The following is a 16488-nucleotide window of genomic DNA, read 5'->3' as shown; positions in this document are numbered from 1 at the left end:
CAGAGCTCTATTTAAAATAGCCACAAACAAAAAATAATATACCTAGGAATGGATTGACTCAAGGAGGTAAAATATCTTTAGAAGGAGAACTACAGTCTACTTTTTAAAAACTGTAATTCTCTCTCCCTCTCCCTCTCCCCACGGTCTCCCTCTCCCCACGGCCTCCCTCTCCCTCTCTTTCCACGGTCTCCCTCTGATGCCGAGCCAAAGCTGGACTGTACTGCTGCCATCTCGGCTCACTGCAACCTCCCTGCCTGACTCTCCTGCCTCAGCCTGCCGAGTGCCTGCGATTGCAGGCGCGCACTGCCACACCTGACTGGTTTTCGTATTTTTTTGGTGGAGACAGGGTTTCGCTGTGTTGGCCGGGCTGGTCTCCAGCTCCAAACCGCGAGTGATCCGCCAGCCTCGGCCTCCCAAGGTGCCAGGATGGCAGACGGAGTCGCGTTCACTCAGTGCTCAATGGTGACCAGGCTGGAGTGCAGTGGCGTGATCTCGGCTCGCTACAACCTCCACCTCCCAGCTGCCTGCCTTGGCCCCCCAAAGTGCCAAGATTGCAGCCTCTGCCCGGCCGCCACCCCGTCTGGGAAGTGAGGAGCGTCTCTGCCTGGCCGCCCATCGTCTGGGATGTGAGGAGCCTCTCTGCCTGGCTGCCCAGTCTGGAAAGTGAGGAGCGTCTCTGCCCGGCCGCCATCCCATCTAGGAAGTGAGGAGCGTCTCTGCCAGGCCGCCCATCGTCTGAGATGTGGGGAGCGCCTCTGCCCTGCTGCCCCGTGTGGGATGTGAGGAGCGTCTCTGCCCGGCCGCCCCATCTGAGAAGTGAGGAGACCCTCTGCCTGGCAACCGCCCCGTCTGAGAAGTGAGGAGCCCCTCCGCCCGGCAGCCACTCCGTCTGGGAAGTGAGGAGCGTCTCCGCCCGGCAGCCACCCCGTCTGGGAGGGAGGTGGGGGTCAGCCCCCCGCCCGGCCAGCCGTCCCATCCGGGAGGGAGGTGGGGGGGGTCATCCCCCCGCCCGGCCAGCCGCCCGTCCGGGAGGGAGGTGGGGGGGTCAGCCCCCCGCCTGGCCAGCCGCCCCGTCCAGGAGGTGAGGTGGGGGGGTCAGCCCCCGCCCGGCCAGCCGCCCCGTCCGGGAGGTGAGGGGCGCCTCTGCCCGGATGCCCCTACTGGGAAGTGAGGAGCCCCTCTGCCCGGCCAGCCACCCCGTCCGGGAGGGAGGTGGGGAGGTCAGCCCCCCGCCCGGCCAGCCGCCCCGTCCGGGAGGGAGGTGGGGGGGTCAGCCCCCCGCCCAGCCAGACGCCCCGTCCGGGAGGTGAGGGGCGCCTCTGCCCAGCCGCCCCTACTGGGAAGAGAGGAGCCCCTCTGCCCAGCCAGCCGCCCCGTCCGGGAAGGAGGTGGGGGGGTCAGCCCCCCGCCCGGCCAGCCGCCCTGTCCGGGAGGGAGGTGGGGGGGTCAGCCCCCCGCCCAGCCAGACGCCCCGTCCGGGAGGTGAGGGGCGCCTCTGCCCAGCCGCCCCTACTGGGAAGAGAGGAGCCCCTCTGCCCGGCCAGCCGCCCCGTCCGGGAAGGAGGTGGGGGGGGGGTCAGCCCCCACCCGGCCAGCCGCCCCATCCAGGAGGGAGGCGGGGAGGTCAGCCCCCAGCCCGGTCAGCCGCCCCGTCCGGGAGGGAGGCAGGGGGGTCAGCCCCCCGCCCGGCCAGGCGCCCCGTCCCGTCCGGGAGGTGAGGGGCGCCTCTGCCCGGCCGCCCCTACTGGGAAGTGAGGAGCCCCTCTGCCTGGCCACCACCCTGTCTGGGAGGTGTACTCAACAGCTCATTGAGAACGGGCCATGATGACAATGGTGGTTTTGTGGAATAGAAAGGGGGGAAAGGTGGGGAAAAGATTGAGAAATCGGATGGTTGCCGTGTCTGTGTAGAAAGAGGTAGACATGGGAGACTTTTCATTTTGTTCTGTACTAAGAAAAATTCTTCTGCCTTGGGATCCTGTTGATCTGTGACCTTACCCCCAACCCTGTGCTCTCTGAAACATGTGCTGTGTCCACTCAGGGTTGAATGGATTAAGGGTGGTGCAAGATGTGCTTTGTTAAACAGATGTTTGAAGGCAGCATGCTCGTTAAGAGTCATCACCACTCCCTAATCTCAAGTACCCAGGGACACAAACACTGCGGAAGGCCGCAGGGTCCTCTGCCTAGGAAAACCAGAGACCTTTGTTCACTTATCTGCTGACCTTCCCTCCACTATTGTCCTATGACCCTGCCAAATCCCCCTCTGCGAGAAACACCCAAGAATGATCAATAAAAAAAAAAAAAAAAAAAAAAGAACTACAAAACACTGCTGAAAGATATCAGGGACAACACATACAAATGGAAAACATTCCATGCTCATAGATTTGAAGAATCAATATAATTAAAATGTCCATGATGCCTAAAGCAACTTGTAAATTAAATGCTCTTTCTATCAAACTATCAATGCAATTTTTTGTAGAATTAAAAACAATGGTTTTAAATTCATATTGAATAAAAGAGCCCAAATAGCCAAGGCATCTTTAAACAAAATGAATAAACCTGGAAGCCTCACTTTACCTGACTTCAAACTGTACTACAAGTGGCAGTAACCAATATAGCATGGTTCTCGGACAAAAATAAACATGTAGACCAATGGAACAGAAGAGAGAGACTTGAAATAAAGCTACACTCCTACAACCAACTTATTTTTGACAAAGTCAACAGAAATAAAGGGGAAATAACTTTCCATCTGATAAATGGTACTGATAAATAATGGACTATATGGTTAGTCACATGCAGAAGAAAAAAACAACTCTTACCTCTCAGCATATAAAAAATGTAACTCAAGATAGATTAAAAACTGAACATGAAGTTTCAAGCTATGAAAATCCTATATGAACACCTAGAAAGTACTCTTGTGGACACTGGCCTCTGAAAACAATTTGAGACTAACACCTTAAAAGTAAATGCAACAAAAATATAAATTGACACCTAATTAAACTAGATCTCCTGCACAGCAAAAGAAATTTGACAAAGTAAATGGACAAGCTACAGCATGGAGAAAAATATTTGCAAACTGCATACAACAAAAAAATTAATATACAAAATCTATAAGAAATGTAATAGGAAAAAAGCACAGAATATATCAATAGATACTTCTCAAAGGAAGATATAAAAGCTGTCAAGAAACATGCAAAAAGTTGCCCAACATCTCAAGCCATTAAAGAGATTAAATCAAAATGACAATGTGATACCATCTCACACCAGTTAAAATGGCTGTTATTAAAAAGTAAAAAAAAAAATAGCATGTTGTGGAGAATAGGGAATGTTTACACAGTCTTTGTGAGAATGCAAATTAATTCAGCCTTTTGTTGATTAATTCAGCCTCTTGTTGGAGCCTCTACTTCAACAAAAGATGCCATGAATTTCAAGTTATTATGCTGACACATATATTGTCTCTAGAAGGGTTCTGGTTTTTTTGCAATCAAGGTGTAGCATTTCTGGCTTCCCTTGTGCTGCTTTGTTTGTGTGAAATAGGAAGGTAGGAAGTAAAACCAAGTAAACCATGACATTTCTATTTTCTACAGCCACAGCATCTGAATTCTAGTGTTATGTCAACTAGAAATAATGTCAGTATTTCAAAACTGACAAAAAGAAATTGATACTTTATCTTTTTAAATGTTTTTATAGATTATAAAAATTTATAGTTTCTGAATTATATAAGTTAAACAACCTGAACATGCAGATACCTAAAAGTTTTACCTAGATAATAGTATTAATATTTTAATAGGTTATGATTGTGAGTCACAGTTGCCCCATTGAGTTTACTGGAAAGCGGTTATTTATCTTCTGAGTGTATGTAGAGAATAGGCTTTCATAATCCTAAACAAAGAGATCTTTTAAGATTAGCACTATATTTAGATTTGAATAAAATTCATAGGCTTGTAGTAACAGAAATTTTAATATATTTTCTAATAGAAAAAAGTCAATCGAAATAAGTTATTCAGATGAGTTTTAAAAAACTTCACGTGTTCATTAAATAACATTTAAAATTACATTGTAAGTGACTGATTTGTAATTCCAATCTATTTCATTTTAGTCACTGAGAAAACAATATCCTTAAATTATTCAATCAGAAAAAGTATTCTTATATTAGTGTTTCTGAAACTTTCAGAAACTGTAGACCACTCAGTGGATGGGGAGGCATATGCAGACCACAAATTTTCTATGTAATAATAGGTTCATCTTAGCTTTAATATAAAAATTAAATATATTTCAAAAGTAAAATTAGTGGCTTTTTTAAGTCATGAGAGACATATTATTGTTAGAACCCATTTGCCAAATTATTTGTGTTAGGCTTAGTAATAAGTGCTTTCAACCAAAAATCAAGTTCTACATACTATCTCAGGGTAAAAAGAAAGTGGTTTTTATCTTATTTATTTTTACCAATAAAATATTTTTATTTTTAAACTGTTATTTTAGATTTAGAGGGGGTACACCTAGCCTTTCTAGACTTCCTTAGTAATTGGTAAATTTCTCTTTTTATTTTGTCATTATTACTTTTTCTGCACTCAGGCTGGAGTGCAATGGCGCAAACATTGCTCATTGCAGCCTTGAACTTCTGGGCTTAACATATTCTCCCTCCTCAGCCTCCCGAATAGCTGAGACCACAAGCACAAGCCTGTGTGCCCAGCCCATTATTATTACTTTTAATGTCTGCTAGTTCCTGGGGTGCACAGAGATTTAAAGGTCACATTCTTCCAGGGTTTGGGCATAACATGAGCACTGGAATTAAATAGGTAGGTCCCACAGGGAAGGCAGTGCCCAGGAGAATAGAATCTAGGTGTGGGTGTGACCACTCTCCTTCTCAACTTGGCTCTTTCTTCTTGTTTGAAGAGACAGAGTAATACTGGGAGGCAAAAAAGGACCATTGGCTTGGGGTCAGAGGGTGTGATTTGAGGTCTGGAGTTGATCTCTTAAAGGCTATGTGAAGTTGGCACTGTCTCCAACCTTTCTCCTGCAAAATGAGAAAACAAGGCTGGATGAACTGAGTTCGCTTTCAGTCTTTTTTTTTTTTTTAAGTTTTTTATTTCCATAAATTTTGTTTAACAGGTGGTATTTGGTTACATGAGTAAATTCTTTAGTGGTGATTTCTGAGATTTTGGTGCACCCATCACCTGAGTAGTATACACTGAACCCAATTTGTAGTCTTTTACCTGATGCCTTTACATCCTTATAGTTTAGCTCCCAATTATGAGTGAGAACATACAATGTTTGATTTTCCATTTCTGAGTAGTATTCAATTATATATATACATACATATATATATATATACACATACATATATATATATATATATGTATATATATCCACAGTTTCTTTATCCACTTGTTGATTGATGGGCATTTGAGTTGTTTCCACATTTTTGCAATTCCAAATTATGCTGCTATAAACATGCGTGTGCAAGTTTTTTTTTTTTTTTTTAAATAATAACTTCTTTTCCTCTGGGTAGATACCCAATAGTAGGACTGCTGGATCAAATGGTAGTTCTCCCTTTAGTTCTTTAAGGAATCTCCACACTGTTTTCCATAGTGGTTGTACTAGTTTACATTCCCACTAGCAGTGTAGAAGTGTTTCCTTTTCACTCCATCCACACCAACATTTATTATTTTTTTATTTTTTTATTATGGCCATTCTTACAGGAGCAAGGTGGTATCACGTTATGGTTTTGATTTGCATTTCCCTGATCATTAGTGATGTTGAGCATTTTTTCATGTGTTTCCTGGCCATTTTTATATCTTCTTTTGAGAATTGTCTATTTATGTCCTTAGCCCACTTTTTGACGAGATTTTTTTTTTCTGGCTAATTTGTTTCAGTTTGTTGCAGATTCTGGACATTAGTCCTGTGTCAGATATATAAATTGTGAAGATTTTCTCCCGCTCTGTGGGTTGTTGTTTACTTTGCTCACTTCCTTTGGCCATGCAAAAGCTCTTTAGTTTAATTAAGTCCCAGCTATTTATCTGTGTCTTCATTGCATTTGCTTTGGGGTTCTCGGTCATGAAATCCTTGACTAAGCCAATGTTTAGAAGGGTTCTTCTGATGTTATCTTCTAGAATTTTTATAGTTTCAGGTCTTAGATTTAAGTCCTTGATCCATCTTGAGTTGATTTTTGTATAAGGTGAGAGATGAGATCAAGTTTCATTCTTCTACATGTGGCTTGCCAAGTATCCCAGCACCATTTGTTGAATAGGGTGTCCTTTACCCACTTTATGTTTTGGTTTGCTTTGTCAAAGATCAGTTGGGTGTAACTATTTGTGTTTATTTCTGGGTTCTCCATTCTGTTCTGTTTGTCTATGTCCCTATTTTTATACCGGTACCATGCTGTTTTGGTGAGTGTGGCCTTATTGTGTTGTTTGAAGTTGGGTAATACGAAGCCTTTTGATTTGTTTCTTTTGCTTAGTCTTGCTTTGGCTATGCAAGCTTTTTTTTTGGTTCCATATGAATTTTAGGATTGTTTTTTCATAGTTATTTGAAGAATAATGTCAGTACTCTGATGGGAATTGTATTGAATTTGTAGATTGCTTTTGGCAGTATGGTCATTTTTAGAGTATTGATTCTACCCATCTATGAGCATGGGATGTGTTTTTATTTGTGTCATCTATTGCTTTCAGCAGCATTTTGTAGTTTTTCTTGTAGAGGTCTTTCACTTCCTTGGTTAGGTATATTCCTAAGTATTTTATTTTTTGTGCAGCTATTGTAGAAGGGGTTGAGTTCTTAATTTGATTCTCAGCGTGGTCGCTTTTGGTATATAGCAAAGCTACTAATATGTGCACATGGATTTTGTATTCTGAAACTTTGCTTAATTTATTTATTGGTTCTAGGAGCTTTTTGAAGGAGGCTTTAGTGTTTTCTGGGTATACAATTATATCATAAGGAAACAATTAGTTTCAGCTCCTCTTTAGTGATTTGGATGCCCTTTATTTCTTTCTCTTGTCTGATCATTCTGGCTAGGATGTCCAGTACTATGTTGAATAGAAGTGGTGAGAGTAAGCATTTTTGTCTTGTTCCAGTTCTCAGAGGAAATGCTTTCAACTTTTCCCCATTTAGTATTATGTTGGCAGTAGGTTTGTCATAGATGCCTTTTATTATATTAAGGTATGTCCTTGGTAGGCCAGTTTTGCTGATGGTTTAAATCATAAAGTGATGCTGGATTTTGTCAAATGCTTTTCTCCATCTATTGAAATACTTATGTAATTTTTTAAAAAAATTCTGTTTATGTGGTGTATCACATTTATTGACTTGGGTATGTTAAACCATCCCTGAATCATTAGCTATAAAACCTACTTGATTATGGTGGATTATCTTTTTAATATGTTGTTGGATTCAGTTAGCTAGTATTTTGTTAAGGATTTTTGCATCTATAGGCTGGGCCCTGTGGCTCATGCCTGTAATCTCAGCACTTAGGGGGGCCACAGCAGGACAATCACTAGAGGTCAGAAGCTCAAGACCAGCATGGCCTACATGGTGAAACCACGTGTCTATTAAAAATATATGTATATTCTGCAGTTGTTGGGTATAATGTTCTGTAAATATCTGTTAAGTCCATTTGGTTTAGGGTGTAGCTAAAGTCCATTGTTTCTTTGTTGACTTTCTCTCTTGATGACCTGTCTAGTGCTGTCAGTGGAGTATTAAAGTTTTCCACTATTATCGTGTTGCTGTCTGCCTTATTTTTTAGGTCTAATAGTAATTGTTTTATAAACTTGAGAGCTCCAGTGTTGGGTGCATACATATTTAGGATTGTGGTATTTTCCTGTTGGAAAAAGTCTTGCATCGAAATAAAATGTCCCTCTTTGTCCTTTTTAACTGGTATTGCTTTAAAGTTCCATCTGATATAAGAATAGCTACTCCTGCTTGCTTTTGGTGTCCATTTGCATGGAATATCCTTTTCCTCCCCAATACCTTAAGTTTATGTGAGTCCTTAATGTTAGGTGAGTCTCTTGAAGGCAACAGATAACTGGCTGGTGAACTCTTACCCATTCTGCAATTCTGTATCTTTTAAGTGGGGCGTTTAGGCCATTTACATTTGATGTTAGTATTGAGATGTGAGGTACTATTCCTTTTATTTTGCTATTTGTTGTCTATATACCTTTTTTTATTGTATTTTGGTTTTATAGATCCTGGGAGATTTATGTTTTAAAGAGGTTCTGTTTTGACGTGTTTCCAGAATTTGTTTCAAAATGTAGAGGTCTTTTTAGCAGTTCTTGTAGTGCTGGCTTGGTAGTAGTGACTGCTCTCAGTATTTGTTTTTCTGGAAAAGACAGTATATTTCCTTCATTTATGAAGCTTAGTTTCACTGGATTCAGAATTTTTGGCTAATTATTGTTTTATTTAAGGAGGCTTGAAGATAGGGCCCCAATTCTTTTTAGCTTGTAGGGTCTCTGCTGAGAAATCGGCATTAATCTGATAAGTTTTTCTTTATAAGTTACCTGGTGCTTTTCCCTCACAGCTGTTAAGATTCTTTCCTTCATCTTGAATTTAGATAACCTGATGACAGTATGCCTAGGTGATGATCTTTTTTAGATGAATTTCCCTGATATTCTTTGAGCTTCTTGTATTTGGATGGCTAGGTCTCTAGCAAGTCCAGGAAAGTTTTCCTCAATTATTCCTCCAAATATGTTTTACAAACTTTTAGATATGTCTTCTTTCTAATTATTTCTAATAATTACCAATTATTCTTAGGTTTGGTCACTTAACATGTCCCAAACTACTTGGAAGTTTTTTTTTTTTTTATTCTTTTTTCTTTGTCATTGTTGGATTGGGTTAATCCAAAAACCTTGTCTTTGAGCTCAGAAGTTCATTCTTCTACTTGCTTGATTCTATTGCTGAGACTTTCCAGAACATTTTGCATTTCTCTAAGTGAGTTCCTTATTTCTTGAAGTTGTGATTGTTTTTTATTTATGCTATCTATTTGACTGAAGATTTCTTCCCTCATTTTTGTATGTTTTCTGATTTCCTTAAATTGGACTTCATTTTCTCTGGTGCCTCCTTGATTAGTTTAATAACTGAACTTCTGAATTCTTTCTCAGATAAATCAGAGATTTCTTCTTGGTTTGGATCCATTGCTGGTGAGCTAGCATAATTTTGGGGGCATATTAAAGAACCTTGTTTTGTCATATTACCAGAATTGTTTTTCTGGTTCCTTCTCATTTGGGTAGGCTATGTTAGAGGGAAGTTCTAAGGTTCAAGGCTGTTTGTTCAGATTATTTTGTCCCATGGGGTATTCCCTTGATGTAATACTCTCCCCCTTTTCCTAGGGATGTGGCTTCCTGAGAGCTGAGCTGTAGTGATTGTTATTTCTCTTCTGGATCTAGCCCCCAAGCAAGTCTACCAAGCTCTGGGCTGGTAGTGGGGGTTGTCTGCACAGAGTCCTGTGATGTAAATTGTCTTCAGGTCTCTCAGATGTGGATATTAGCACCTGCTTCAGTAGAGGTGGCAGGTGGTGAAATGGACTTCTTGAGGGTACTTAGGTTTGGTTGTTTAATGCACTATTTTTGTGCTGGTTGGCCACCTGCCAGGAGGAGGTGCTTTCAAGGGAGCATGGCTTTGGTAGTATAGGGAGGATCAGGTGGTGAGTGGGGCCCTAAGACTGCCAAGAGTATAAGCTATTTGTCTTCAGCTACCAGAGTAGGTAGGGAGGGACCATCAGGTGGGGGATGGTTAGGCATATCTGAGCTTAGACTCTCTTTGGGCGGGGCTTGCTGCAGCTGCTGCAGGAAATGGTGGCATTGTTCCCAGGTCAATGGAGTTATTTTCCCAGGAGGATTATGGCTGCCCCTGCTGTCATGAAGGTTGTCAGGGATGTGGGGAAAGCCAGCAGTTACAGTCCTCACCCAGCTCCCACACAACCTGAAAGACCAGACTCACTCCCACCATGCTCTGCACCAAGAGCACCGAGTTTTCTTTCAGGCAGTGGGTGAGCAGGGCTGAGAACTTGCCCAAGGCTACCAGCCTCCTAGCTGCAAAAGCGAGCAGGCCTTTTGTGCCTGCTGACTTTGCAGTCTGCACACCTGATTCATGCCCTCCTGCAAATTCTGGCCAGGTGAATTCATGTTTGGTTAGAATTGTTAGAAAGTTCAGCTGGAAGTTTCCTTCTCCCTGTGGTCTTTTCCCACTTCCCTTGACAGCCCTCTCCAAGGACCCCTTTGAAACAAGTCTTTAAAAGCTTTCCTGAAGACCCAGAGAGCCCACAGGGCTTCTTCTGCTTCCTCTACCTCTGTATTTAGCTCATCTCTCTAAATTGACTCAGCTCGAGGTAAGGTCAGGTCCTTATCCCATGATCTAGACTTTCAGGTTCCCAAGTGAGGGTGTGTGTATGAGAGCAGATGATTCCTTTTTCCCACTTTCACATCTTGGGCACTCATAGTATTTGGGCTGTCTCTGAGATCCTGCAGGAGAAATTTGCTTCCTTCAGAAAGTCTGTGGGTTCTCTCAGCTTTCCTGGTTCATTCCTGCAGTAGTTCTGAAGCAAAAGTTCATGATGCGAGTTTCCACACACTGCTCTGAGTGGGAGCTGCAATCTATTTCTGCCTCCTGTCTGCTATTTTTGTCAAAAAACTGATTTTAAAATTCCTCTTTATTTCTACTAAATTAGAAAATTAAAAGCCAAAATGTTAGATCAGGAATAATAATTGGATGAGAGGGTGTTGGGCATATGGTTAAGATTGAAACTTAGAATCAGGTGGTTCCTGATTGCATTCCAGTTCTGCCATTTATGGGCTGTACGATATGAATACAGTTTCTTGACCTCTCTGTGCTTGACTCTTCATCCGTACAGTGAGGATCATACTGCCTAAATCCTAGGGTTTTGGTAAAATTAAAGCAATTAGTACAAATAAGGGTACCCAAAGTTTGCCCAGCACATAACAAGTGTACAGGAAATTTATTAGCTCTTATTTGTTGATTCTGTTAGATCATGATCAATATTAAGCCTGAAAACAAGGTGGCCACATCAGTGATTTGTAACTCATGTTTATTCTAGTCAGTCCGGGGCTGTAATAGTAGTCGAATGTTTATGATACTATCCTTTTTTTAAAAACTATTAATATTTTTATTGGCAAATAAGAGTTATATACATTATGAGGTACAATGTGAAGTTTGAGTATATGTACATAATATGATTATGTTGAGTTAAATAACACATGAACTCACCTATCATTTTTGTGGTGAGACACTTGAAATTTACTCTTAGTTATTTTAAAATATACAGTAATTATTGTTTATTGTAGTCACCCTGCTTTGCAATAGATATCAAAACATATTTACCCTGTCTATGTGAAACTTTGCATTCTTTGATCAACAACTCTCTGTTTTCTTCCCACCACACCCAGCCTCTGGTAAAGATTATTCCACTTTCTACTTTTTTGAGTTAAACTTTATTCTTGCAGTATTTGTCTTTCTGTGCCACAGTTATTCCATCTAGCATAATGTCTTCTAAATTCATCTATATTGTTTCAAATGATAGGATTTACCCCTTTTTAAAGGCTGAACAATATTCCATTGTGTATCCAATATTTTTTTTAAAAAATGAATTTAAAAGGCCAGGTGTGGTGGCTCATACCTGTAATCCCAGCACTTTGGGAGGCCGAGGGGGGTGCATCGCCTGAGGTCAGGAGTTCGAGACCAGTATGGCCAACATGGTGAAACCCTATCTACTAAAAATAACAAAAATTAGCTGGGTGTGGTGGCAGGTGCCCGTAACCCCAGTGACTTGGGAGGCTGAGGCAGGAGAATTGCTTGAACCCAGGAGGTGGAGGTTGCAGTGAGCCGAGATGGTGCCATTGCACTCTAGCCTGGGCAACAAGAGTGAAACTCCATCTCAAAAAAAAAAAAAATTAAATATATTTATTGATTGAAAAACTCATGGAAGGATATTTCTGTGTTAAAGAACATGTTAATATAATTCAGTATACACATATCTTAATAGCTAATTTGTACTGAGCACTAACCATAATACTACTTATGTGTTAATAAATTTAATTCTCACAGTAACTGGATAACATAGGCATTACACTTATCCTTATTTTGCAGAGAAAGAACCAGAGCTATGGGTAGAAATGACTTGCTCATAATAGTAGAATATTAAAACACAGGCAAATATGTCTCCAGAGATAGCACTTCTGAGTACAACAATAAAAACCCTCTTTAACCAGAAAGGAAATAATTAACACTCACTTTTAATAAAAATTAACAAAAATTGAATAATTAGATACATTTTCATTGTTCTGCGTGTTTGTGAATGTATCAAATGGTACATAAGAAATAAGCCAGAAAAAATGTTAGTTAATATTTTAATGAATAAAATTGGAAAGTAGTTAATTATTATTTGCAGATATCTTTGCTTTGCTAACAAAAGCAACTAAAAGATGATTTTAAAGGTCTATTCAGGTGGGTAGGCAAAATTTTAAGATATTCCCCAGGATTGCCAGTCTGTTGCACACCTGCTGTGGAATCCTTTTTCCTTGATTGCAAAAGAATGTGTGACTGTGTTGGAAAATCATTCATAAAATCAGATTGTTAATGTGTTGCTTTTGTGTTCATCAAAAGGGAGATTATCCTGATTGGGCTAAAGTGAATCAGAGGCGCTTTTAAGAGAAAGGGATACATGATAGAAAAACATCCCAGCTGGCCTGGAAATAAGTGACTTCTACATGGGCCATGCTGTAAGCTGCTTATGGAGGACACATGGCAGGAAATATATTTGTATATTGTCATCATTTCTGCCTCCCACATGTTGCTTCCAGTAGGGAGGACAAGGAGAATCCCATTGCAGAGGAAAAAAAGGGGGGTCTTAGTCATGCAATAAATAATCACCTTATCTGAGATAGCTTAAGATAAACAGAGGAGACCACAACACAACCACATCAATGAGAGGAAAAAGGCAGTCTGGTTGAAAGAGCCCACTGGCGGCCGGGCGCGGTGGCTCACGCCTGTAATCCCAGCACTTTGGGAGGCCGAGACGGGCGGATCACGAGGTCAGGAGATCGAGACCATCCTGGCTAACACGGTGAAACCCCGTCTCTACTAAAAATACAAAAATTAGCCGGGCATGGTGGCGCGCGCCTGTAGTCCCAGCTACACGGGAGGCTGAGGCAGGAGAATGGCGTGAACCCGGGAGGCGGAGCTTGCAGTGAGTCGAGATCGCGCCACTGCACTCCAGCCTGGGCGACAGAGCGAAACTCCGCCTCAAAAAAAAAAAAAAAAAAAAAAGAAAAGAAAGAGCCCACTGGCATTGAAACGGGAAAGGTTCCCTTGTTCCCCTCACAAAGTGTGTGATGCGGGTGTGGTTCACTTCTTTGGTGCTCCACTGCACTAGGGAAGCATACAGATAGGCAGACCGACCCCACGGCAGTGTCTAGGGGTAAATGTTTACAGTTCCTGAAGCCCCAGTGGGCATGTGTTACAGGGCGCTCTCTTAGTTTGCCGTCTATAGGCAGCTCGTATTAACCAGCTCAATTAGACCCCCTTCCTTATCACCAGGACAGGGGGATTTCTGTATCCTGTGGTTTCTTGCCTTGGTGTACCAGAATAATCGGATCACACGTGGGCTTGGAGAATGAGTGTAAAGTTTTATTGAGTGGCATAGCTCTCAGCCAATGGGGGAGGCAGAAGGGAGATGTTCTTTCCCTGGAGTTGGGCCGCTTGGTGGCCCTGGCTCTCCTCCGACTGCCCGGACCAAACTCAGCCTAGTCCTACCAGTTGATAGCCTGCTGGTGTGCTGGTGCCTGCGGGTGTGCTCTTCTGCCAGCGTGCTCCTCTCGACGTCCTCTTGAGGACCAGCCACTTGCATCTTCCTCTACCGATGTGCTCCTCTCCACATCTGGTCACTTGTGTCTCTGCCTTGCTAGAGTCCCGGGTTTTTATAGGCCCAGGATGGGGGCATGGTGGGCCAGGGTGGTCCTGGAAAATACATTTGGGCACAAGGGCAGAAGTGCCTGTCCTCACTTAGGTCCGTGGGGGTGGAGCCCTGGCCAGTGACAGCGCCCTCCTCTACCCAGCAGTTCCCTTCCCCACTTCCATATTATTTAAACGGACCATGCTCTTCCCTTCCCAAGCACTTTTTTTTTTTTTTTTTTTTTGAGACGGAGTCTCGCTCTGTCGCCCAGGCCGGACTGCGGACTGCAGTGGCGCAATCTCGGCTCACTGCAAGCTCCGCTTCCCGGGTTCACGCCATTCTCCTGCCTCAGCCTCCCGAGTAGCTGGGACTACAGGCGCCCGCCACCGCGCCCGGCTAATTTTTTGTATTTTTAGTAGAGACGGGGTTTCACCTTGTTAGCCAGGATGGTCTCGATCTCCTGACCTCATGATCCACCCGCCTCGGCCTCCCAAAGTGCTGGGATTACAGGCGTGAGCCACCCAAGCACTCTTGTATCAGCCTTATGAGGCAACATTTAGTAAGCTGTAGTGAATGGTCAGCCTCTGGGATACCAATAGTCTACCAAAAAGGCTGAACTCATTCTAATTAAATCAGCATGTCTGCACCATTCTGATGACCCTGTTTTACATTATCCTAGGTACCCTCCTAGAATTAAAATTATCATGAAAAAGCATACCTAATTTTTCATTTTCACAATTGAAAAATTTTGAAAACAATAAATTTAATAATGAACTTCTGCTAATTTTAGAGGATTCTACTATACTGTAATCCAACATATATATTTCTTTTTTTTTTTTTTGGAGACAGAGTCTCACTCCATCACCCAGACTGAAGTGCAGTGGTGTGATCTCAGCTCACTGCAACCTCAACTTCCCAGATTCAAGCCCTTCTCCTCCCTCAGCCTCCAGAGTAGCTGGGACTACAGGCATGCACCACCACACCTGGTTAATTTTTGTATTTTTAGTAGAGATGAGGTTTCATCATGTTTGCCAGGCTTGTCTCGAACTCCTGACCTCAAGTAATCCACCCACCTCAGCCTCCCAAAGTGCTGGGATTACAGATATGAGCCACTGCATCTGTCCATAATATGAGTATTTCTTGAAAGCATGAACAGTTATGTGGATATTTGCTCTTAGATTAACATAATAAAAGTAACAAAACATTTAAAATCAGATAAAATTAGTCAAAACCACATCTTTTCAATGGCTTAGCATAATTGCCATGATTTTTGAAATGGACAGATTACTAACAAGAAGCAAAGACCAGATTTAGGATTTGCTCCGTTATTAAGTCCTTGATATTTCAGGGCAGTACAAGAATTTCGATAGGTAGGAAAATGCATACAATATACACACATGGCTTTTCTCTGATTTGCTTTAACATTAAAAAATTGAAGATTACAAATCTAATCTCTTAATTTACAGTAAATTTAAAAAGGATTTATTTTTCCACCAAGAAAATAATTATATAAAATTAATGGGTAACAGATGCCTTTAGCTGCCAGAAAATAGCATGACTAGATTCAGTAAGTATGTAGCCACGCAAATAACAGTCCATTACATTAAGACCCTAATAGGTGCATGTGGAAAACATTTCTGTGCTATGTTGTGCACCTTCACTCTGCACTTTCTTCTGCCTGTTTACAGAGATACCAATTTCCCCTGAGTAACTCAGGGTGAATACCGGGAATTGAGAATGCTGTGTTCAGAGGGATTACTACAAACATCATTAACACATTTTTCCATATTATAAAGACATTTCATAAATCTTATTCTGCCTCACAAAGGCTTTTAGTAAAAAAAAGTTTCTTTACAGTGTTCAAATTGAATTCATGAAAAATTTCAATATTCTAGGTAAGTCAGAGACACTTAAGTGTCAACAAAATTTCATAATACATACTTGAATGAGATAAAGTCTTCTTAACTAAGAATTTTATTTTATTTTATCACTACATTTAGAGAAGAATAAAAAACTGGTACTTTGAGCCAAATAACAGTGTTTGGCACGTGAGTACCACCCAAACAAGTGCTTTTCATCATCATCATTAAAATGGCAATCCATGTGCTTTCCTGGCACCAGGTGGCCTGTTTTCCACTGATATAAAGTGGAGAAGGCTTTATATTAAAATAATGAAGGAGGGTGATATAAATTGAATACCTGTATGAAATACAACTTATAATAAAAAGCAGAAAGAAATCTTACCACTAATGCTTCTCCTATAAAATATCACCAGAAATTAACTGGTTATTATCCTCAGTTTTCCTTCCATGAAAAATGGCAGGGACACATTGTAAGGAACATCAAAAGAGAACAGATGAAGTAGCCAAAGGAAACAGGTTATCTGATCAGACAGCTAAGTCAAAGGTGAGGAAGCCTCAAAGAATTAACACACTTCAAGCCCTTCGAATATAGGAAGGCTCCATAAGAGAAAATAAACCTCAGTATTTCTCTGTGGAAATAGAATGGGCTGCTTCTTGAGGGTATATTTTCATCTCTCAGGATGGCTACAGTCAGAGGACAGAGGATGGCAAACTCCATTTGCCAGCCTCAAGCCAATG

At 41.8% G+C, this 16488-nt stretch overlaps 2 annotated features.

The window, feature by feature from the left end:
• Positions 41-784: an enhancer, noted in NCBI's record as "H3K27ac hESC enhancer chr7:64428835-64429578 (GRCh37/hg19 assembly coordinates)". NCBI's record gives its function as "activates a minimal SCP1, AML or CMV promoter by ChIP-STARR-seq in naive H9 embryonic stem cells {active_cell/tissue: H9 hESC(naive)}" and the evidence as "EXISTENCE:reporter gene assay evidence [ECO:0000049][PMID:30033119]".
• Positions 785-1528: an enhancer, noted in NCBI's record as "H3K27ac hESC enhancer chr7:64428091-64428834 (GRCh37/hg19 assembly coordinates)". NCBI's record gives its function as "activates a minimal SCP1, AML or CMV promoter by ChIP-STARR-seq in naive H9 embryonic stem cells {active_cell/tissue: H9 hESC(naive)}" and the evidence as "EXISTENCE:reporter gene assay evidence [ECO:0000049][PMID:30033119]".

This window comes from Homo sapiens, chromosome 7 (genome assembly GCF_000001405.40).
Source record: "Homo sapiens chromosome 7, GRCh38.p14 Primary Assembly".
NCBI lineage: Eukaryota > Metazoa > Chordata > Mammalia > Primates > Hominidae > Homo > Homo sapiens.
The sequence above is the reverse complement of the archived record's forward strand: the minus strand, read 5'-3'. Positions and strand labels throughout refer to the sequence as shown.